Genomic DNA, 23,979 nt, shown 5'->3' on the forward strand with positions numbered 1-23,979 from the left:
ATAATTATGTAATATATGACTGGGTCATTTGTTAGATCTGAGGTTTGCTTTAGGAATTTTATTTTTGGGATAAACTTGCTTTTTCACTTATTTAGCTTAATAATTTATGAAAAATATTTCTGCTTCTATCACTAACATTATCTCCAGTAATGCCCTTGTTTAATGAAAGAAAATTTCCCTTTAATACTTACAATTAATCTTGCAAGTAAAGCATTGGACTAGAGTCCAAAATAAACATCAAGCTATCCAAATACCTTGTACTTTGAAGAGGGCTACTTGTATTTACTTATCCATTCATCAGTGTCATCATTTTAAGTTCAAACATTGGAATTGTATGTGACTTTTATCTTGGTTATGAAGAATTGCTTTCATTAAGAAATGGATTAACTATGGATGGAATCTATGGATGGAATTAGGCAGCTTCCTGGGGCCAAATGTTATTGAAAATGTATTTTGTATAGAAAAAAATATATACTTTTTAAAAAGATTTAGACTTCTATATCAAGTTAATTAGAGAAACCTCCTTTTCAAAAGCAGTTAATTATAATTAAGGGCAAAATATAAATGTCTACTTTAAATTCCTTAACAAAGAAAACTGATATCTTTGCTTCTAAGTCAACAGATGAAAAGATGAAAAAAATGTGGAAACTTTATTTGAATGGATTGATTCAAGACACATTTTAAAATGCTTGAAAATAGGTTAGGAAGTGTTCAGCTTTTAAAAATATGTCCTTCTGGAAATATTCATTGCTCACTTGCTCAGTGCAATGCAAACTATGAGATAAAAAGTATTACAAAACATAGTCTTAGTCTTTAATAAGCTTACAGTTAACAACAGATGTGTCTTTCTTAATAGAGAAAATAGTGGATTAAGTGTTATGAATGATGTAAACTCAGTTCTACTGGTGTGTAAAGAAGTATTTAATTTTGGCACCAGTGATTGAAGAAGGCTTTATGGAATGACTTCACTCTTGATTATGGAAGTTAATAGTATTTCAAGAGGCAAAAATATGTGAGAAACAGCCCCCCTACCAATAGACAGTGTGATCAAATATTGCAGCAATTAAGATATTAAAAATAATATCTCTGAGCATTTTAATTTGTCAGACACTAGAATGAGATATCATGTCATTTGATCTTCTCAGTAGCTCTGTGAAGTAAGAACTTTACTGTCACAATTTTACAAATAGGGAGACAGGAACAAGTGATAGGTAACTTGTTCACAAAAAACATAACTAGGAAGTATCAGATCAGAGATTTAACGTCTGACAGAGCCTATGATCTTAATCATTTATCAGTATAAAGGGGTTGCAATAAACTATCACCCAAGAATGTAATAATAAGGGCTAATCTAATAGAGAACATTTACTATATCCAGCCTCTGTTCTAAGTGTTTTACATGTATTATCTCGTTTACTCCTCATAATAGCCCTTTGTAGTAGTTATTATTTTATTATTATTATTTTTACAAATGAAAAAGCTGAAGTAGTGGGAGGTCAGGTAACTTCCAGTAAGTGGAGAAGCCCCAATTCAAATATGAATGATCTCTTCCTGTCCTTGCTTTCAGCCATGAAGGTATTTTAACATTATAGATATAAGAATAAGATTAATTTCCAACAGATTGTGAAATAAAAAGTAAGTGTATAAATTACATAGAATCATTTTCAGTAAAGTGACTTCAAGCCCTCAGAATTCCAACATACTAATGCCAAGGGAAAATACTATATGTCAATTAGGAAGGTTTACTTATTATTGAAAGCATGGAAATGAGAAAGTCATTGGGACAAAACAGGCTGACCTATCTGTAACAGAAATAGCTGCCTTCTCCTTGTGGGCAAAAGTAGAAATATTGCAACCTCAAATAAATCATTTTTTTGTCGGATTAATGCTTCTGGCCCAGTAAAGGTTTATGCAGAAATTTGAGAAAGCCACCTGGCTTTTTAAGGTAAACTCTGATGGCTCTCAAACTTTGTTTACCTGCCTGGCTCAATAACTGTTCTTTTTTCTTTGCAAATAGAATACCAAATTTGAGAGTGCAATATTCCTGGCTGAAAATCTGTAGTCCCGGGATATCTTACAGCTAACTTTTGTGATGTAATGCTGTCAGAAATTGTAAAAGGTTGGGAATTTTATCCTATTTGCAAGCTAGCAAGTTAGCCTGCATCACTTTCATGGATGCTGGTGGAAAATACTAGGCTTTTAGATTGTATAGAGAGACTTTATTACTCATGGTACAGCAAGCAGCATGACCCTCATAGTAATGTCTGTTTCTGTTGCCCTCAAGTTCCACAAAACAATGTGGAGCAGTTCAAGTGAATACCCTATGTGTAATGGGCTTGTATGGCAGCTGAGAAACCCTGAGCTTGGGGAATCCATGTGTCTTGTTCCCTAATAAGAATTCCTGTTTTCAAAATGTGTAGTAACACAGGAGACCTATGGAGAATTGTCTCCCAATAATGTAATAGTCACATTCTTTCTACAACGTTGTTGGCTAATAGTAAATTTCCCCCGTGAGATTGCCACTCCTCTAGTTAATCTGAATGGTGGGGATTGCGATCAAATCCATTCAGTTTTTCTCATCTGTATTTATTTAAAGAGACTATAAACAGGACTTTAATGAGCAGGATTGATCTCAACCATGCCCACCAGGGTCCTGGACCCAGTCAGCTGAACAAATACTATGAACCACTGAAGTTTACTTTAAAAAGCCAGGCGGCTCTCTCCTTAAGTTTCTGCATAAACCTTTCCACTTGGCGAGAAGCATTAATTTAGATACAAAAGGATTTATTTGTGGTTACAAAGATTCCACCATTGCCCATAGGCAAAACCTATCACCTATAAATACCCTGGCCAGTGAGTTGAAGCTGACCTGAATGAATTCCAGAGCTGAAGTGGTGCCATTGATTGCTTCAGTGAAATTCAGGGAAAAAATTTATAATGGATGAATCCCATAGTAGGATAAACTGCCCACAGGATTCACAGATATTGCTCCATGTAGCTCCCATAAATAAATAAAGGTAGCCTCACTTTGGAGAGATCTCATTAGTGTACTATATTATCTTCTGCTGATCTTTACTTAAACAGTTGAAAATTTCTTATGGCTACCCTAATGTTCAAATCATGTGTCTTCAGAAGGGTGGTAATCTTCATACAAAAGTTATAGTACTGGAAGTGGGCCTGGTTTGCCTGAGTTGGTGGAGGGAAGGGTTAGGCCCAATTTCAGGAACCCGCTGGGTGGAAGACAAACAAATATTACCTCCTATGTGACCTCCTCGCCCTCTGGTAACGCCAGGTGTTCTCAATTACTAGAATAATTCAGTCCAGTTCTTGTTTAAGAGAGACTTTGTGAGAGTAGTTGATTAGGTCCGTCCTCATTGTCTACTCCAGGGGTCAGCAAACTACTGTTGGGCTTGAAATCTCTTTTTGTAAATAAAATTCCATTGGAACTCAGCCATGTTCATTTATTTGCCTTTTGTTTGGCTGCTTTTAAGCTACAGTAGCAGAGTCCTGCACTTGTAACAAAAGCAATATAACCTAAATAACCCTGACATATTATTATCTAGCCCTTTAAGGATTGTTTACCAATCCTTGTTTTATGCCATCAGTTTAGTGGCTTTATTACCACCCGATGTAATGAGTGAGAATAGTGGCAGAGAAGGTATTTAGAGGTATTGACAAGCATTCTGCATAGGAGTGGCAGATGCATCCTGTGCTATTTTCAGTAGACTTATTTCTAAGAATAAAAGAATGGCGATCAAGTCGTGAATAGAGCCATCTGGTAAGAAAAGGCAAGTCCAACAGTCAGTGAAGTTTAAGACACTTATCCTAGTTTGGATGTTCTGTACCAGAGAGTTTTCTTTCATGGAGAATACTCCAGAAGTCATTTTGAAAGACAAATATCATTAACATCTGTCCTTTCCCCATAATTGTAGGGGTCTGTGAATGTTCCCTTCTTATTTGGTGCTCTCCCTCTACCTCCAGCAAATTGGTGTATTTCATCCTAATAACTGTGATGTCATCTTTTTTCTCAATTATTTCCTGTTTGCACATAGACTTTTTATAAAAAATGGTGCAAGAGCTACAAGGACATTTTTATAAAACTTACAGAGACTGATTGTGTCCCCCACTTTGGCCTGCATGAACAAGCTGTGTCCTCACAAAGTGCTCATTATCCTTATGATCCAGAATCATATCAATAAAACAAGAAACTCCAGGAGACTGAAACATAATTGAGTCCAAATCCCATAAGCTCCGTTTAGGCAAGGCTGCCACACAGGCTGCTCTGGGGAAAAAGAAAGAAGTGTTTTGCCCAGAAAAGGTCAGAATGAAATTTTGAAATTAAAAGTAGGTGTAGGTAATCCCACACGACTTTCATGTTGATCATTGCACAGAAATCACCCAAGATGATATTATTTCTTTCTTGGAACATATTCATAAAGTGAACAAGCAGCCTCACTAAGGTATATGAGCCAGGAAAAGGTGAAGAAGATAAAGCTGGACATCTTTTGAAGTCAACATTTGAGGAGATTGTTTCAACACTCAACAACACTGGAAGTCTGTTGATGGTAGAGAGCGAGGAAGATACGCTGAGTTCCTTGACTACCAGGCCATTGTTGAGCATCTTTTGCATACATTTGTCAGGCTGAAAATGGTCCAGTGAGCTGAAAACATGACGCAGATTAATTTTAAGAGCTTCTAAAGTAGTGTCTACATCAGCTGATCAGACTGGAACAATAATAACACGACCTAAAAAAGTATCTACAACACTTTCAGGCAGTCCTAAGAAGTGATCAGAGGCCAAAATAGTCAATGTGCTTGCAGTGGGAGTGGACAACCCTCTTTGGCTTTCCCTACTAGGATACAAGGGGTCAACTTTCAGCAGGAATCACAAGTATTGCATACAGTGCAGGCCCTGGTAACAGAAGTTATTTGCTTTGTGTCCCATCTGTGAATGGTAGACACGGTAAATGGTAGATCATGTCAGGCAGCAATGGTGGCAATCTGTGTGTCTGTCTCAATAATCAGCTTGAGTCCAGTTGATCTGATCAGTTAATGGACTTTCACTATGGGTTTCTCCATGAGTAACCCTGATGTAATCTTGATATACTTCCACAATTCACAGCTCCAAAGAGTGGTATCTTTAATGTTACTACTCTGTAGTTCTCTAAGTGGCATACCAAACCACTAAGCTGTTGACAACAGATCAGCAGTCATAATGTGTATATATACATATATACATACACACACAAACACACACACACACATATATATGTGTACCATGGAGGAGAGTATTGTACAGAGCTATGAGAACAGGCTTCAGTTCTGCCCACTTAGCAGAGTAAGCATGTCCATTTTCAGTACTGCATAGCAGGTGCTGAGCTTGAATGACCTAAGCAAACTACAACGAACACTTTCAGATTTCAGGTCAGCAAAGTCATCACCATTTGTTTATGGAACTTCTGCATCTCACGGCCCTTTAGAGTCAGCACTTAGCTTCAGGAGGTAAAGTCTTCTAAAGGAAGAATTTGATTTTGATGTGCATGCTTGTTGGCCCCTGCACATATTACTAGTTGCTGAATTCGAAGTGACCCTCCTCAAGATAGGAATGTCAGGTCATTCATAGATCAGGCTTTCGGTTTCAGTTAAGAGTCCATTAGAAAGCTAATAGCTGCTTTTCAAAATGGATGTACCTGGTAGCCATATTTGGGGAGCACCAAGTCCATAATCCCAAAGTGAGTCTCTAGGAGGGGCTTCTTCTCTTCAGCAGAGGTCCCAACTGGCATAGTCATTAGTCAGAGTCAGAAATGCCCAGAGTCCAACATAGCGATAGGGATCTCTTTCTGGGGAGAGAAGAAGCATGTCTCTATGTGACATTATTCCCAATAAGGAAAATCTCCTTGAATATTTGTGAAGTAGGAAATTAGAAGCATATAACACATGAATTCCAATTATATACTCAATGTAGGAAGCAACAACAGTATATTAAGTTGGTATAAAGGAACCCAGCTACATGTCACGTGCCTTTCCCTCTCCCACTGAAACCCCCACCAAATAGTTGAATCTGAGCATTTTCCCCTCTTCCCCCAGGGCTGGATAGGTGCTATATCCGACAAAGCCATAGAAGTCTGAGTCCCTCCCTTCCCCAAGATTTCTCAGAATATTGATACGTGCCTAGGGTGTTTAGTCTCTCTTATGGCAAGAATCCTTCTTTTAAGGCAGCTAATGCCAGGGAAAAGGGGAAAGGAGGGGAAGGGATTGTGGATCCAGAGACCTATTGTACAGCAATAAGCAAGGCACTTTCTGTTTCAAGTAGCTACTATCAAGTTCAACCAAGCAAATCTGGTTTTGGTCTACTCCAAGCTCTATATCTTCATGGGTAACACCATTTATTTCAGCTCAGACTGATTCTTTCACTTTTTATTTTTTTAACTTTGATAGTTGAAGGAATATCTCTGTATGAATATTATAGAAAAAAGGCCTTCCAATATTTCCAAGCGTTGAAGAATGATTGTGTTTGTGTTAAAACCTTGAGTGGCACTTGCTTCAGGAAAAAAAGGGTGTTTATTTGCTTTCTATTAAGGTTCTTTAAAAATTGGTTGGAATAAATGCTAGTTGAATTTATACTTCATGACTTGAAAAGCAAGCTGATTTTCATTCTGCCTTCTCAAGGAGTGCAGTATGTTTAAAATACTACTTTTGCCTGCTTTTTGATTTGCTATGAAAAAGATAAATATTTTAAGGACACCTGGAAAATTTTGAAATACATTTTATATGCATATGGAGATTAAAGCTAAGAGACTAAAAAAAAGTCATTCTTTATTTTGGTTAATTTTGTTTTGTTTTGTTTACTATGGCACTCAGTCCAGTATTCTCTCTGCATAGTTATAATGCAGCCTTGCTAATGTAACCAGAATAACTCTTCATTGATAATGAGAAATTAACAGCTGAAAAAAATCAATACCATAAATAGGTAATATAATTTTAATGAAAGGCGACAATCTGAAGGCTGGATATTGAATTAGTATCTGGAGAGTGTGTGCATAGATGATTGGGGGAAGGAATCCTAAACATCAGTCTTCCTCACAGTTACATTTACATGCATGAGAAACAGGACTCCTACTTACACTAAGATTAAACCTAATTAGTATCTATGTAGAAAAGAGTGAAGATGGGAAAACAAAGATAAATGTGAAGAGAAAATGACTGATAATTAGCCAAAATTGAATTAAAGACATCAATTCACTGAGCCCCAAGCATAAGTAACTACAAATAAATAAATAAGCAAATTAATTAATTAATTAATCAAGTTGATGTTGGTATTTGAAAAAAGAAAAGCTTAAATAGCAAGAAATTAAACTTCTACCTTTAGAATATAACAAAATAAGACTATATTAAACACAAAGTGTAAGAAAATAAAAATAAATGGAAATAAAACAGAAAACAAAATGAGAAAGTTAACAAAGTCTAAAATTATTAATTTTTAGGAAATATTTTGATAAAACACTAGCAAGACCATTTTTAATTTTTTTTTAAGATTATACTTCAAGTTCTGGGACACATGTGCAGAATGTGCAGGTTTGTTACATAGGTATACATGTATCATGGTGGTTTGTTGCGCCCATCGACCCATCATCTACATTAGGTATTTCTCCTAATGCTATCCCTCCCCTAGCCCTCCACGCCCTGACAGGCCCCGGTTTATGATGTTCCCCTCCTTGTGTCCATGTATTCTCATTGTTCAACTCCAGCAAGACCATTTTTAAAAAATACACACAGAAAACAAAATTTGCCAGTATCAGAAATTAAAAAGAATACATATCCTCCACACACAAAAAATATTCTACTGGAAATTCTAACACTGAAATAAAGCAAAGAATAAAACACAAAGAATTTGAAAAGGAAGAAGCAAATATGTCTTTATTTCTCAATACATAATAATGCACATAGAAAATCCTATGAAATCTAAAACTTATAATTTAATTAGTAAGCTTATAGCCTATATTCGCAAGTAATTGTATTTCTTTCTAATAGCAATAAAAAATTAAACCTGAAATAAAACATAATATCAAATACCCAGAAATAAATCTGCAAAATTTTGCAAGACATTTACGCTAAAAATTATGAAACATTGACCAAGAGTATTTAAAGAAGAACTAAATAATGGAGAGATATATGTTCATGATTTTCAAATTTTAGTCTTAAGATATCCATTTTTCATAAATTGATTTATAGATTTAATAATCAAAAATCTTAAATTTTTAAATTGTTTTTAGAGCCTTTTGAAGAAATTGATAAGCTGATCCTAACATTGTGTAAAGATCTTATATAGCCGCAACAATTGAAAGAGCAAAGAAAAAGATTGGATGAAATATTTTACCTGACTTCAAGGCTTTTTTGATATTGGCATAAGGATTGACAAATAGATTCATGGGACATAATTAGGAGTCCAGAAATCAACCCACAGGCATAGAGTGGGGTTGATTGTTAACCAACATGCCAATCAATTCAGTGGTGAAATGTTTAAGCAACATTGCTGAACCAATTGGGTCCCTGTATGGAATCAAAACAAAAATAAATTTTACTCTCATCTCTCACTACACACAAAAATTAATTCAAGATTTATCACATACTAAAACTAAAACCTTAGAATTAGAACTCTTTTAGAGGAAAACATAAGACATTATCTTCATAACTTCAGGATATATAAAGATTTCTTAGGTACCAAAAAGAACATTTTGGACTTTCTCAAAATTAAAACGTTCTGCTCATTAACATACAACATTAAGAAATAGACAAACTATGAACTGTGCAATAAATTCTAAAACATAGATCCGAAAAACGTATAAATATGTGAAATATGTAAAGTGTTCAAAGAATACACATATTTAAAAACTCTTAAAAAGCACCAGTATGAAACCAAAAACAATTTTAAATGGGTGAAAGCCTTGTCCAGACCATTCACATAAGAAGATATATAAATGGCAAATAAACTGTGCAACTTTATTAGTCCACAGAAAAATGCAAATTTAAATTACAAGGAGATGCCAATCTGCATCCACTAGATTGGCTGAAGGCAAAGACTGACAATCCAATTGCACCTCTGATACTTTGCTGGTTGGAATGTAAAACATACAGCCACTTAGGAGAGCTGTTTGGCAATTTTTTACCAAGTTAAATATCTACTTACCTTGTATACCTCACCTATTTCACTCCAGAAAAATGAGAATGTATAGCCACACGAATTCTTGTACAAGAATATTCATAGCAGCATTATTCCTCATATCCAAAACTGGAAGCAACTCTAATGCCCATCATTTTGAGAATGGTTAAATTAATTTTCATACAGTAGAATACTATTGAGCAAAATAAGTAATGAACTATTGAAATATGAAGAAACACTGAGTTAAGTGAGAAAAGACTCACATTTATAAATGAGTAATACTGTATGATTCCATATATTTTAAGTCCAGTAAATACAAAACTAAGCTATCGTGGTCAAAATCAGACAGTGGTCACATCTATGTGTCTGGGGTAGATTGTCTGGAAAGCGACACAAAATAACTTTTAGTGGTAATGGAAATATCCATTATCTTGTTTTGAGTGATAGTAACAGTGGAATACAATAAACAATCTGTTAAGCATTTAAGATCTGTTTATTATATGTAAATTAAACTTCAATAAAAAATTACAATATAGAACAACCCATCAAATATTTGAAGACAAAAAAGGTAAAGGAAAGGAAAAAGGAAAAAAAAACAATTTACAGAAATATCATAATTTTAAACTAAACACATAATTGAATCATGATGATTTAGAGATTACTGAGTCATAAAAAAAAGGTGAGAATTTAATTTGGTGGCCACTGGGAACCCAAATTTGAAAGTATATTAGAATCTCTAGAAGAGCTTTTTAGTAATTGGAATGCCTGGGCCTCATTCCAAAACCATTCAATCAAAATTTTGCAGGGTGCATAGCAACATATATATATATTTAAAACTCCACAGGTGCTTCTGATAAGCCAGCTTTGTTCCTTGATGAGGCATCTGGAAACAGCAAATTTCAACAGGTCTCTTCTTCCACATCTTTGATTGACAGTTCTGTTTCCCCTGCCAGAAAGACTCCAAGCGATGCAGAATTCGTTACTTTTTGATGCAGCTTTTTTCATTTTTAGACATTGGACATTTCTAGTTGTCAAAAAGTACATATGAAACTGAAAACACACACATTGATCAAAATGAGCCATTTTCTGGAATAATATTAAATAAGTAGTCTGTTTTGCTTATAGTCGTTTATCAATAAGTAAATAAAATGATACCTCTCTAAACTTACCCTAGATGTCTACTGCATAAGCACCACAAGCAGTTTACCATTTTTGAATTTGATGTTAATTTCAGATATCTCACCTTTCTAAGTGGCTTTATCCCTTGCTATTCTAGTTTTTCCATCTCTCTGTATGAGAAGATAAGACCTGACATATTTACTGATTACAAAATATGCCACGTGTTGTCTTGTTGCTGTAGAGAGATGTGAGATATTTACCTCTTTTTAAAATACAAAGCACTTGTACTGTGTTTTCTTTATCATAATTTTTGCTTTTCAATTTTATGTTTTACCTTCATTGTGTTAATGATATTGACCAACCCTTCCAATTTTGCATTGTTCTCAATTGGCTTAACATGCTAGTCATGATTTCAACCAAATGCCTTCCAAGAGGAGGCATTGTCAAACAGGTGGATTATGGTATTGAAAGAGGCTCATTAAAGGCAATTGGCAGTCGTTCCAGGCAGACTCACCATCAGAGAGGTCTAAGCAAAGAATTAAGACAGATATATCTGACAATGGCTAGATGCCATAATAAAAGAGTCTTGCAACTGAAATAATACAGAAACCAGAAAGTTATAAGAGGAGGTGCTCGTCAGAATAGAAAAATAGTAGGTAAATTGTTTTAATGGAATTATTCTCTTTTGAGAGTACTGATGAGAGAAACATTAAATTTCAGGGCTGGAAAAGCTGGGTAGAACTGATTTACTAGAATGAAGCAAACAGTAAGGTTGATAATGTGCTCTTCATCAAATGAGCTACTTGAGTTATTTAAGTTTCCTTGCCTAGTAACAATAACAACCCAATATTGGGATGGATATATTGGTAGATCTATTAGAATGGATTCAGCTGTAGAGATTGGAGGGCTACTTCAATGACAGGGAGCTAAACAGTTTATTATGATAATGATGCAGGTACATGAACTTAATGAAAATAGTTATTCTCTTACCATATCCTCACCTCTACTTCTATTCATGTGTTGGCTTCATTCTCAGTCAAGTTAGCAGACTCTGGTGACCTAAAGCATATCCTGACAGATGATTGTATTAAAGAAAGATCATTTCCTGTGTGTGTGTGTGTGTGTGTGTGTGTGTGTGTGTGTGTATGATACACATAGGGATTTTTATCCATACATCAAATACTACATGTTGTTTGGGTCCTTTTCCATTCTTAAACCAAATAATTTGGTCAAGTATATGGAGGGCTCTGAGTTACCACCCTGAGTTACATGATGACTCTTTGGTAGAAGGGTGAAGGGTAGGCATACATATACACATGTACCTCCTTTTTTGGTTTGAAAGCAATCTTACTTATAAGAAAAATTAAGGAAACTATAATTGTTTTATTATAATTCATTATTTTAAAATCCCTTTTAGAACATACCCTTTGAAAGTTTAGTTTATATTTATTTGTTTCATTTTGTTTTGGTCAGCTAAAAATTATTTTATGGTCTTAACCTTTCTGTTATTTTTCTTATAGTTTCAGGATAGCCTTTACTATTCTGCAACAAGGTTGGTGGTAACCTTATATAAATCTCCACTGTAATTTGTTAAACTAATTTTGAAAATCAGAGACCTAGATATGCATAATAAGTATTGACAAAATATCTTAGCATGGAAATGGCTGTATCCAGTATGCTGGGTAGATATGTACACTTTTTGTTACCCATATGCACAAAAACAAAGAAAAAAATCAACTTTATGGATGAATCAGAGGGTTATTTATGGGCTCCACTGCATACTGAAAACATTGATTTAATGTTTTCAAACTAGAGTCAGTACATAGTCTAGTGATCTAAACTACTTAAGCACCACTCTTCACCGTATCACTCTTTACTTACAATTTAATTGCCATGTGTTCTTTTGAAATGAGCATTGAAGGACCATCCTCATGAATGCATTCCTAAGAATCACAATGTTTATTCTGTGTAGTCTTGATGTAGGTTTAATCAAGACCCTTGAAATGGACACATTCCTCTTAATTGATTGCAAATGTTTATGATTACCCAGAGAGTGTTTTCAAATGTCTGATGACTATAATATTACTGACTTTCTCTCTAGACAGTCTTAAAGCTGTTTATTGCTCATTTGGCTACTTTCCAGCTTTCAGTTGTCTCATTTACTTCCATGTGCATCAATAAGCATATAATTAATCCAAACATCTTATTGAACCATTTCCTTTGCATTAGTATATATGATGTTAAGTAGGTAAAATTTATATATTCTACTGCTTTGGATTTATTCATAAGTAAAATGTTCTTAACAAATATTGATCAGCATCAATGTAAAGATGCCTCTTATACTGAAATATTATGATCTCATGCTCAGATCACAAGCTATTATCAAATAGAAATTCAATCTCAGTGATGGGCCACTGTTGCCAGATCGTGTCACCTCAGAAATCTAGTATAGCATATAATTATCTTTATTTTTTAAATACAAAGTAAAAATGCAGCACAAATGCCAACAAAATAATAAATGACTCAAATTCTTTTTGAAGTGAAGTTTTTTCTAAGCAAGATTTTTTAAATGGCTTATGGTTAAAAGTTTTATTTTCTCAGGAAGCAAGCCATTTATAAAGTATGTTTTGCTATTCACGTGTTGGGAAAAGTCTCTTCAGCTCAATGATGTATCTCATATATCCAGCAGTATGACATACTCCTTCCTATTTTTAAAAAAAGCCCAAGGTTTCAAATATTAATTTTAATGCTTGGCATTCTGCCATAATTTCAGAAACACCAAGACTGGCTGAATACAGTACTGAAGCCTTTTTCTACTCCAAGTGAGGTCTTAAAATGTATTACATGATTAAAAAGATTAAATGTGCCTAATCTACACAGAGGAGGAAGAAATGAGTAGAGGAAAAAAATAAGACACAAAAACTTAGTGACATATCTCTTTTCCTATTGAATTCAATATTTTAAAAGTGATATTTCAAAACAATAATCAGACTGAGAATTACTATTTTATGTATTCCAGAGAATGCCACTAAATTTTGTTAAATTGCAACTGTAGTTTGGAAAATGAGTAGTATTGCAGGATACCTCTATCTGTAATACAGTCTGTGGTATCATCAGATGGTATAGATAATATACTCCATGAGGGCAAGAACTGTTTTTTGTTTTGCTCAACATTCTCTTCCAAGTACCTCTCACAGTGCTTGGCACATGGTAAGCAAAGACTTGAAACAGATTTATTTGTTTATGTTTCTTAAATTTTTAACATTGATACATATGACATGTACATATCATATTTTCAGGGTACATATGATAATTTGATAAATTCATGTAATCAAATCAGGGTAGTTGAGATATCCATCACCTTAAATATTTATCTTTGCAATAGCAGCATTTGAATTATTTTCTTTTAGCTATTTTGAAATGTACAATCAATTGATCTTAACTATAGTCATCCTACTGATTTATTGAACACCAGGTCTTATTTCTTCCAAGGGTATATTTTTACCCATTAATAAACCTCTTTCCATTCCCTTAACCCCTCTACCCTTCTTGGCCCCTGGTCATCACCAGTCTGCTCTCTATCTTCATGAATTTCACTTTTATATGTTGAGAAATATCTGCTTAGATGCTGACCACTGGTATGGAATGAGCAATACCGTGTCATATTTCTGATTAAAAGCCTTTTTTGGGGTCAGTTTAGAAATATACATTAAATTCTAATATTTCCTAGGATTTTTTCCTACCCTAATCTACTTTAATATAAACCATTTTAGTAGAGAGATTAAAATTAATCTTACTTTACAGATGATAGTAAAGTCATTATTTTACGTGATTTAATAAAATGAATCATTAAGCTTCAATCAGCCACTACCTCTTGGAGGATTGTTGTGGGAAACTGGCCTAAATAAGTAACACAATACAGATATCTGAGAAATTGATGGTTGCTAGAATGTTATAGACATCAACTTTTAGTTCCTATCAATATTTTATTCCATTTTCCTATTAAACAATGGCAGAATAAAATCAAGATAAATGTTGTTATTAGCATTATCACATTAAAATATCATTTCCTGTTTAAATGTTAATTTCTTCCACTAAACTGGAAGCACCTCAAAGACAGGAACTGAGCCTTCATCTTCCTTATCAAAGTATCAGATGTTTGCTTTAAAAAAAAATGTATTAATCAAGACCCTTTCTCTTACAAATAGCAGAAGTTTACTTCAAAATAGCTTTTTTAAAATTGACTCATGTAGTTTGAAAGTCTAGGGAACAGCTGCCTTGCCTCTGTTTCACTTTAGTTACTTTCACACTAGACATGTTGGCTCCTGCAATCGCAAAACTACTGCATTGGGACAACTTGTGATACACAAGAAAGACCACTTCTTCTGATTATCCATATTTCACATTTCAGTCTTCACTGTAATTTGTTAAACTGTTTCTGAAAATTAGAGACCTAGATATGCATAATAAGTATTGACAAAATATCTTAGCATGGAAATGACTAAATCCAGTATGCTAGGTAGATATGTACACATTTGTTACCCATATTCACAAAAACAAAGAAAAAATCAACTTTAGGGATGAATCAGAGGGTTATTTATGGGCTCCACTGCATACTGAAAACATTGATTTAATGTTTTCAAAGTAGAGTCAGTACTATCCCTTAAAAAATTACTTAGGCCAGAGGACATGGAGAGTTCGAACTAACCAGCCCAGGACACATGACCATCCAGCAATGCAACCTAGAGAGTTGGGCACATGTAGAAAACAAGGGAGGCATCCAGATTTATTTCTTAAATGAAAAGTGGCATCTTGTTGTTTGAATAAAGGAAAAGAAATATTGGGAAGATTAAAAATAAAAGACATCAACTACTTAGCCACCAGTATAACCCTGTTAACTTAGAACTATGATTCTAAGTTAACAGGGTTATACTGGTGGCTAAGTAAGAATCCAAACCTAGTTTTCTTACACCAAATGCAGTGTGTTTTCCCCTAGATAAAGTTGTTTTCTAAATGAAAGATGGAAATGTTGACTGCAAATGATTTATAAAGGCTTTACATATCATCAAAGCACCCTGAAAACCAAAACAGTAACTTTTGACTTGATAAATGTAAGGAAACATTCAGGATGAACTCTGTCCTGTGCCACCAAAATCCCCCTTCAAAACTGAAGACTGTCTTCTCCCAAATGCTGAGAGGGCTTGCCGCTGACTACCTTCCTTATGAATTACCCTCCGCTTAGGGGAACCACCTCACCAAAGGACACACAGGGGTGTAAAATTCCTCCTTCCACCAGCGCTAACTTGGGATAACTCTGAAGACCATCCCACTTCCAGAGCTCCCTGCAGGTCTTCGCTGAGACTGCATCGTAGCCTCCCTCTGCTGGCTCTTTCTTGTTCCCTTCCCTTGGGGCACAGTGTTATTCCCGAGAGCAGTCCCTGATAGCCTCTCTAGTCTCCAATCTCTACCCCAGAGTCGGCTTCCTGGGAACCTAACCTTCTACAGTTAATCTGCTTTTCTTAGGCCTGAAGGACAATTAAATAGTAACTAAAACAATGAAAGGTTTTCAAGGGAAAGTATTTATGTGTTTGCTATCTTTTTATCTAAAATTTTCCTCTATTTTTAAACAAAACCTCACATTACTTTTTAGCATGGAAATGTTTATACCTTACCCTCTTATACAGTCTGGATAAGAAAAAAAATCACTAACATCAGGGACGATATGCTTATCCAGGTTCTCCAATAACTACTTTTAAGGGAGGCAAGCAGAGTTGACTAAGAGATTATAATCTTGGCAGTGTGCAGAATGTTTTCAGTATGTGCATTTACTGAGAGGAGAGAGAATTCATAATCTTTGATTTTCTCAAAAGAGTCTGTAACACAAAGAAGGTTAAGAAATTGGAGCACTGGTTCCCAAATAGTCTCTTAAGAAGCATCAAGTGAGAGAAAATCCCTTGTTTTTTTTTTTTGTTTGTTTTTTTCCTGAGCGTTTCTGATCCCATAGAAATGGGATTGAGCAAAAATCTTCATTTTTTTTTTTTTTTAAGTTTCAGCTTTTACTTTAGGTACAAGGGGAGTGTGTGTAGGTATGTTACATGGGTATATTGCACCCAGGAAGTAAGCATAGTACCCAATTCATTTTTCAGCCCCCAACTTTCTCTCCCCGGCTAGTAGTCTTTGGTGTCTATTGTTCCCATGTTTATCTCCAAGTGTAGTGTAATGTTTAGCTTCCGCTTATTAGTGAGAACAAGTGGTATTTGGACAAGTTTTCCAGATGACTCCAAAATAAAACTCAGTGGATTACAATTTGGAAAAATACAGACTTATGGATGAAAATATAGTTCTATGTTAGTTTCTATTGCTGGTGTATCAAATTACCACAAATTTAGAGGCTTAAACAACACAAGTTATTAATAGTATTTTTTATTTTATTATGATTATACTTTAAGTTTTAGGGTACATGTGCACAATGTGCAGGTTAGTTACATATGTATACACGTGCCATGCTGGTGTGCTGCACCCATTAACTCGTCATTTAGCATTAGGTATATCTCCTAATGCTATCCCTCCCCACTCCCCCCACCCCACAACAGTCCCCAGAGTGTGATATTTCCCTTCCTGTGTCCATGTGTTCTCATTGTTCAATTCCCACCTATGAGTGAGAACATGCGGTGTTTGGTTTTTTGTCCTTGCAATAGTTTACTGAGAATGATGATTTCCAATTTCATCCATGTCCCTACAGAGGACATGAACTCTTCATTTTTTATGGCTGCATAGTATTCCGTGGTGTATATGTGTCACATTTTCTTAATCCAGTCTATCATTGTTGGACATTTGGGTTGGTTCCAAGTCTTTGCTATTGTGAATAGTGCCGTGATAAACATACGTGTGCATGTGTCTTTATAGCTACATGATTTACAGTCCTTTGGGTATATACCCAGTAATGGGATGGCTGGGTCAAATGGTATTTCTAGTTCTAGATCCCTGAGGAATCGCCACACTGACTTCCACAATGGTTGAACTAGTTTACAGTCCCACCAACAGTGTAAAAGTGTTCCTGTTTCTCCACATCCTCTCCAGCACCTGTTGTTTCCTGACTTTTTAATGATTGCCATTCTAACTGGTGTGAGATGGTATCTCATTGTGGTTTTGATTTGCATTTCTCTGATGGCCAGTGATGATGAGCATTTTTTCATGTGTCTTTTGGCTGCATAAATGTCTTCTTTTGAGAAGTGTCTGTTCATGTCCTTTGCCCATTTTTGATGGCGTTGTTTGTTTTTTTCTTGTAAATTTGTTTGAGTTCATTGTAGATTCTGCATATTAGCCCTTTGTCAGATGAGTAGGTTGCGAAAATTTTCTCCCATTTTGTAGGTTGCCTGTTCACTCTGATGGTAGTTTCTTTTGTTGTGCAGAAGCTCTTTAGTTTACTTAGACCCCATTTGTCAATTTTGGCTTTTGTTGCCATTGCTTTTGGTGTTTTAGACATGAAGTCCTTGCCCATGCCTATGTCCTGAACGGTAATGCCTAGGTTTTCTTCTAGGGTTTTTATGGTTTTAGGTCTAACGTTTAAGTCTTTAATCCATCTTGAATTAATTTTTGTATAAGGTGTAAGGAAGGGATCCAGTTTCAGCTTTCTACATATGGCTAGCCAGTATTTTTTAGATCACAAGTCTGAAATGGAATCTCAGTGGGCTATAATCAGTGTCAGCAATGCTGTGTTCTCTGGTGGCTCTAGGGAAGAGTCAATTTCCTTGCCTTTTCCACCTTCTAGAAACAACCCACCTTTCTTCACTCAAGATCTCTTTCCCCCATCTTCAAAGCCAGCAGTCTTTCATCTCTCTGAAGATGCTGAGTCTCAACACATTCTTCAGGAGTTAGACCTCCCTTTGATGCTCCTGTTCTGTCTCCCTCTTCCAATTTTAAAGACTGTGATTACACTAGAGCCACCCAAATAATATGGGATAATCTCCCTATTTTAAGATCAGACAATTAACAGCTTTAATTCTATCTGCAGCCTTAATTTGTCTTTGTTGTGTAATCTAGTATATTCACAGATTACAGGGATTAACATGTGAGCATTTTGGGGAGACCAATATTCTGCCTACCACAAGTTCCTTTATAGTGTCATGGAAAAAACATCTTCCTCCTCCCCCAGTCTTATGTTTAATAACTCAATTAATGAGCCTTCCACCACCTGTTGTTATGTAATTATCTGGTCAGTAGAAGAAATTACTGGAAACTACAGAAACTTCTTTTAGCTTTCTGTTATCCATAAATAGCACCTAGTCACACCCACTCACCTGGAAGCACCTTGAGGTCAGGAACCATATATTCTTTATTTTGGAAACACAGATAACTCATCTCATTGGCTGCCAGCTAATCAGCATACAGATAATGTGGCTGAATGATTGTGATGTGTGATGATGTTTGTGTTCATTGAACAAAACCAAAGGCTTACTCTCTTTTATTTTTTATTTTTTTGACATGGAGTCCCCCTCTGTTGCCCAGGCTGGAATGCAGTGGTGCCATCTCGGCTCACTGCAACCTCCGCCTCCTGGGTTCAAGCGATTCTCCTGTTTCAGCCTCCTAAGTAGCTGGGACGACGAGCATGCACCACCACACCCAGCTAATTTTTTGTATTTTTAGCCAGGCTGGTCTGAAACTCCTGACCTCAGGCAATCCACCTGCCTTGGCCTCCCAAAGTGCTGGGATTACAGGCATGAGCCACTGCACCCAGAGTACTCTCTTTTTTAATGACTCTTACACACAGCAGCTCATAAAGAGCATGGCTCTGAATCTTCTCTCATTGAACTTACCAGTTGCCACATATCATGGGTATTTGGTGTCATTTCCTCAAATAAGCAAAACTATTTATGCTTAACTCCTGCATTCCATGAGTCTGCCTTGTAATTTATGCTTGCCATTTTGGGTAGCTAGCCATCAGTAAAATTTAGGCAATCTGGCCTGTTGGTGGGAAGAGTGGTGGTCTCTTAACAAATAGTCATGTTCTTTACTAACAATAAAGGAATTACAATATGTTAGACCCTACACTAGATTTTGTATATACACAGCAAACACACATAGACACTTTTGCAAAATCAATCTTTGAAGACTTCTATAAGATAAATATTTTTTTCTGGGAGTGGTGGCTTATGCCTGTAATCCAAGCACTTTGGGAGGCCGAGGCAGGTGGATCGCCTGAGCTCAGCAGTTCAAATCAGCCTGGCCAACATGGCAAAACCCTGTCTCTACCGAAAATACAAAAGTTAGCCTGGCATGGAGGTGTGCACCTGCAGTCTCAGCTGCTCAGGAGGCTGAGGTGGGAGGATCGCTTAAGCCTGGGAGGTGGAGGTTGCAATGAGCTGATGTCATGCCACTACACTCCAACCTGGGTAATAGAGTGGGACCCTGTCTCAAAAATAAATATAAACAAATAAATTCTTCATTTACAGTTGAGGAGAAATTTTCAAAAAATGTTACAGTCACATATCTAAGAAGTGACAACCAGGATTCCAGTGTTAGGAAACAGAGGGGTTATAGTGGTCTTTTGTCACATCACTTTTCAGTATGCATATCACTCTGATCAAAAATTAAAGCTAAAAAACGTTATATAGTTTCAAATTAAGGATAATTAATTTACTAGATCAATTTATTTATTAAAAAAATTTTTTTTGAGGGGGCATCTCACTCTGTCACCCATGTTGGAGTGCAGTGACACAATCTCAGCTCACTGCAACCTCCACTTCCCAGGTTCAAGCGATTTTCTTGCCTCAGCCTGGGTATGTATTTTTAGTAGAGACGAGGTTTACCATGTTGGCCAGGCTGGTCTCGAACTCCTGGCCTCAAGTAATTCACCCACCTCAGCCTCCCAAAGTGCTGGGGTTTCAGACATGAGCCAGCACGCCCAGCCCCAATTTAAAACATGCAATCAAACACGTCACTTCCAGACTTAAACTGCTTTTCATTCTGCTCACATATCCAGTCATCCACTTAAGGCAGATCCTCTACTTGAAACTTTCAATAGATTAAAGCTGTATTTTGAATAAAATTAAAACCTCTTCCTGTGTCTCACAGAGATCTACATAACCTGACTCTTCCTCTCCATCCAGCTTCATGTCTCACTAGCTAGGCTGCAACCACAGTGGTCTCCTATAGATTTTTGATCCACAGGCTCTTTAATGTCCTGGACATTTTCTGAGCTGTTGCCTTTTCTCCTTATCTATTTGCTTGGATAATGTCTTCTTATACTTTACCTCAGAGTTTAAATACTAGTTTTGCAGAGAAACCTTCCTCTAAGTAAAATATATCCTCCTCCTCACCCTATTATCATCTACCAATGCATTCATTGTTTTCTTCCAAACACTTAGTGTGCTTTGTGGTTTTAGTTTGTTTACTTGTTTATTGTCTGTTTTAATGTTTGAATGGGTATTCATTGATGTGCTCCTAGCTCCTAGTATTGTGTCTAATATTCAACAAATGTTTTTGGAGAACAAGTTTTTTCTCAAAGTGAAAATGTAAACTAGTACTGGTATTTTATTTTTGTAATCAGAAGATTTCACAGAGAATAAGTAATCTGAAACTTTATTCTCTAGTCATGCTCTGTTTTCTGAGCATCTTGGATCTATTTCAGTGTTACTTTTGTTTTGTTTGCCTTGTATTCAGATGTACAATTTAAGTAACTCAAATAAAGAACAACTTACAATTTGAAATCAATAATCTGCTCTGTCTGCTCTGACATGTATTTTTTTTTTCTTTTTTTTTTTTTGAGATGGAGTCTCACTCTGTCACCCAGGCTGGAGTGCAGTGGCATGATCTCGGTTCACTGCAACCTCCACCTCCCGGGTTCAAGCGATTCTTCTGCCTCAGCCTCCCAAGTGGCTGGGACTACAGGCGTGTGCCACCACGCCTGACTAATTTTCGTATTTTTAGTAGAGATGGGGTTTCACCATATTGGCCAGGCTGGTCTCAAGCTCCTGACCTCATGATCTGCCCCCCTCGGTCTCCCAAAGTCCTGGGATTACAGGTGTGAGCCACCACACTGGGCCTCTGACATGTATTCTAAAGGTATATTGGTTCTGGGGTGAGGCCCAAGCTTGTGTATTTTTGATAAGTTTCTCAGATGATTCTGATTCACATCAAAGTTTAAGAACATCTGCTTAGTATGTACATAGTCTTGTTATTGTACCTCTACCAGTGTCAACCAAAGTCCATCAAATTTAACCCTTTGCTTAATTCATGGTTCAGAGTCTTACACCTTTATGTACATTCTGACTTGGATATTGAATGAATACATAACACCTTTATTATTCCACCTCTTTTATCTCATCCTCTGCCCTAGCTGAGGATTTTATTCTTTTAACCTGCTTTGATGGTAACATCCTGAGTTTACCACATAATTAATGATAAGAAATGTAAGATAGAATTTATACAGTATATATGTTGTAAAGATTTTTAAAGTCATCAGATAAGTAAACATATAATATTTACAACTATTTTGAAATGAAAGAATTCAGAAGAAGAAAGCAAAATTGTTGTTTTAGTCAATTTGTAACCTTGCAAATGTAAATGTTTATAAGAGTAAATGTAGTTTCTAAATTTTTGGCTATTTGTTTTCCTGTTCTGTGGTTTTACTTACTGCTTTTTCTGGTTTGTATGTTGAAAAATACATAAATTAACTATTACCACTGAGAGGCAAATTTTACTTGCAGGGAAGCACACACTATTAAGGATTTTGAGATCTAGTCTATTCATAAGTTCCCTACAATCCCATTTACTTGTTTCTCTAGTATTTGCCCTTTAAATATTTTATTCTTTGGATATATAATGAAAAATATAGTTCATGATATAGTAAAAGAAAATCTACTATATTAAGATTATAGCATAATCTATATTAAGCTTGTATTGTGCCAGATACTTATTTCAGATATCTTCTTCTATAAACAAGCAATCTGATACTAAGAAGAAATATTTGTGATATTTCAGACATTTATTGTTACTTAAATACACATCAAAGTACAAATGATAAACTCTTTAGATTGAATTTTACTTTTCTTATTTAAGTGTGACGTGGACACTGGACATTTTAATTTGATAAATTTCTAGAACTTTGCTTATTTTGGAATAAGTATGTAAATATTTTGCTGATCATCATGCAATCAAAAATGTTACTTAATATTTTCTAAAATGCTGAAATATGTTTTGAAAAAATATGTTTTGCACATTAAGTATTTTCTCCTTACTAAGGCAAACTTGGTATCTCCTACCAACTTTTCCAAATTTAGCTAAGGAGGTAATACTAATTAAATAGATTAAAATGCAGCTTTTATTTGTGGTCTAAGTTACCTGAGGCCCTTTGAAGATAACCTTTTGAAACTTTCTGTTTAACTGATAAAAGTCAAGTTTAGTGATACTGTTGCCTATTTTAAGAAACATTCATAATCTTGATTCAGATTCATCAGTCATCAATGATATTCATGCTTACATGAGGTTAATATTACTCTTTAAAATGCTAAGGAAAATAGGGAATGTCTTTCCCTTCTTCTTGTTTTGCTCTAGAGAAATGGGGCATCTCTCCAACCATCTCCGTGCACCCTCACCCAACATTTCTAGGATTGACATCATTTAGGTTCCATGTAGATAGAAAGAAATCCATTTAAAAAATAACAATTCCTACATTTTTCATGTGAACATTTCAAAATGTACCAAACCTTAAACATACTTGAGAGTTCCGTCAGCTACTCAGTTGGTAATTTTAGACAGCCTACAGTGTGGAACAATAATCTATTCTGATATAGGTGAAATAGCTTATGCCTTCCTTCTGTACAATAATTCACAGGTATTTTGATGGGCTTTTGATGTTTCCAGATATCCGTGGAATACAGGAGTTCTTGGACAAAGTCTCTCAGCAGGGAATGGATGTTGCACTTCAGAAGGTAGAAAACAACATCAATAAAATGATTACCACTCTCTTTGACACCATGAGAATAGAAGAACTGAATCGCTATCGAGACACTCTTAGGCGAGCGATCCTTGTTATGAATCCTGCTACAGCCAAATCCTTCATTACTGAGGTAAGTGAAAATTGTCTTGGGGTGAGAGTTGTACAAAACAATTAAAAGCTTTGGAATAGACCCTACAGAGGAGATGAAAATTAAGAGCAGTGCGAGGGAATTAACTACACAATTCTTGTTAACACTAATGGAGGTAGCATAGTGAATGCCTCACTTATCTCATTTACCCCTTACTGTCCAGTTAGTTGCTGAGAGTATTTGTGTTTATATATATTTAGGCACATAGACAGAACAATTTTAAGAAGTCTTATAGAAGTTTAAAAGTGCTGTTGACCTGAATGAATCTGGCAAGATCAAGAATAAATTCACAAGTGCACAGCTCTCTAACTAATCCTTAGTAATTTTTGTAAGTTAAAATTTTACTTCTGAAAAAATAATTACTTGAATCAGGACATTATTGCCTAAACATGATTACTGTTACAAAACATATACAGATTTATATCTTCTCTGTGAACTTTGTACCAACACAAATAATTAAGTGTCTGAAACTCTGTAAAGTGATGACTAGTGTACATTTTATGATGCTGCATCCTCAAATTTTTAATTGTATCTGTTCATTTAGTTAGAAGCTCTGAAACTTAGTAAAAATACAATTAAGACTTTCTAGTGATAGGTATAACATCTCTATGT

At 35.5% G+C, this 23,979-nt stretch overlaps 1 protein-coding gene across 12 annotated transcripts in view; it reads left to right on the forward strand.

Annotated features, from left to right (window-relative positions):
* Positions 1–23,979, forward strand: part of GRID2 (glutamate ionotropic receptor delta type subunit 2) — a 1,506,491-nt gene that overhangs the window by 783,639 nt on the left and 698,873 nt on the right. For all 12 annotated transcript variants that reach the window (NM_001440459.1, XM_024454024.2, NM_001510.4 and 9 more), the window contains one exon: positions 23,144–23,349. In NM_001440459.1, the coding sequence (NP_001427388.1) occupies positions 23,144–23,349 (206 nt within the window). The remainder of the gene's footprint in view (positions 1–23,143; positions 23,350–23,979) is intronic.

Source organism: Homo sapiens, chromosome 4 (genome assembly GCF_000001405.40).
Source record: "Homo sapiens chromosome 4, GRCh38.p14 Primary Assembly".
NCBI lineage: Eukaryota > Metazoa > Chordata > Mammalia > Primates > Hominidae > Homo > Homo sapiens.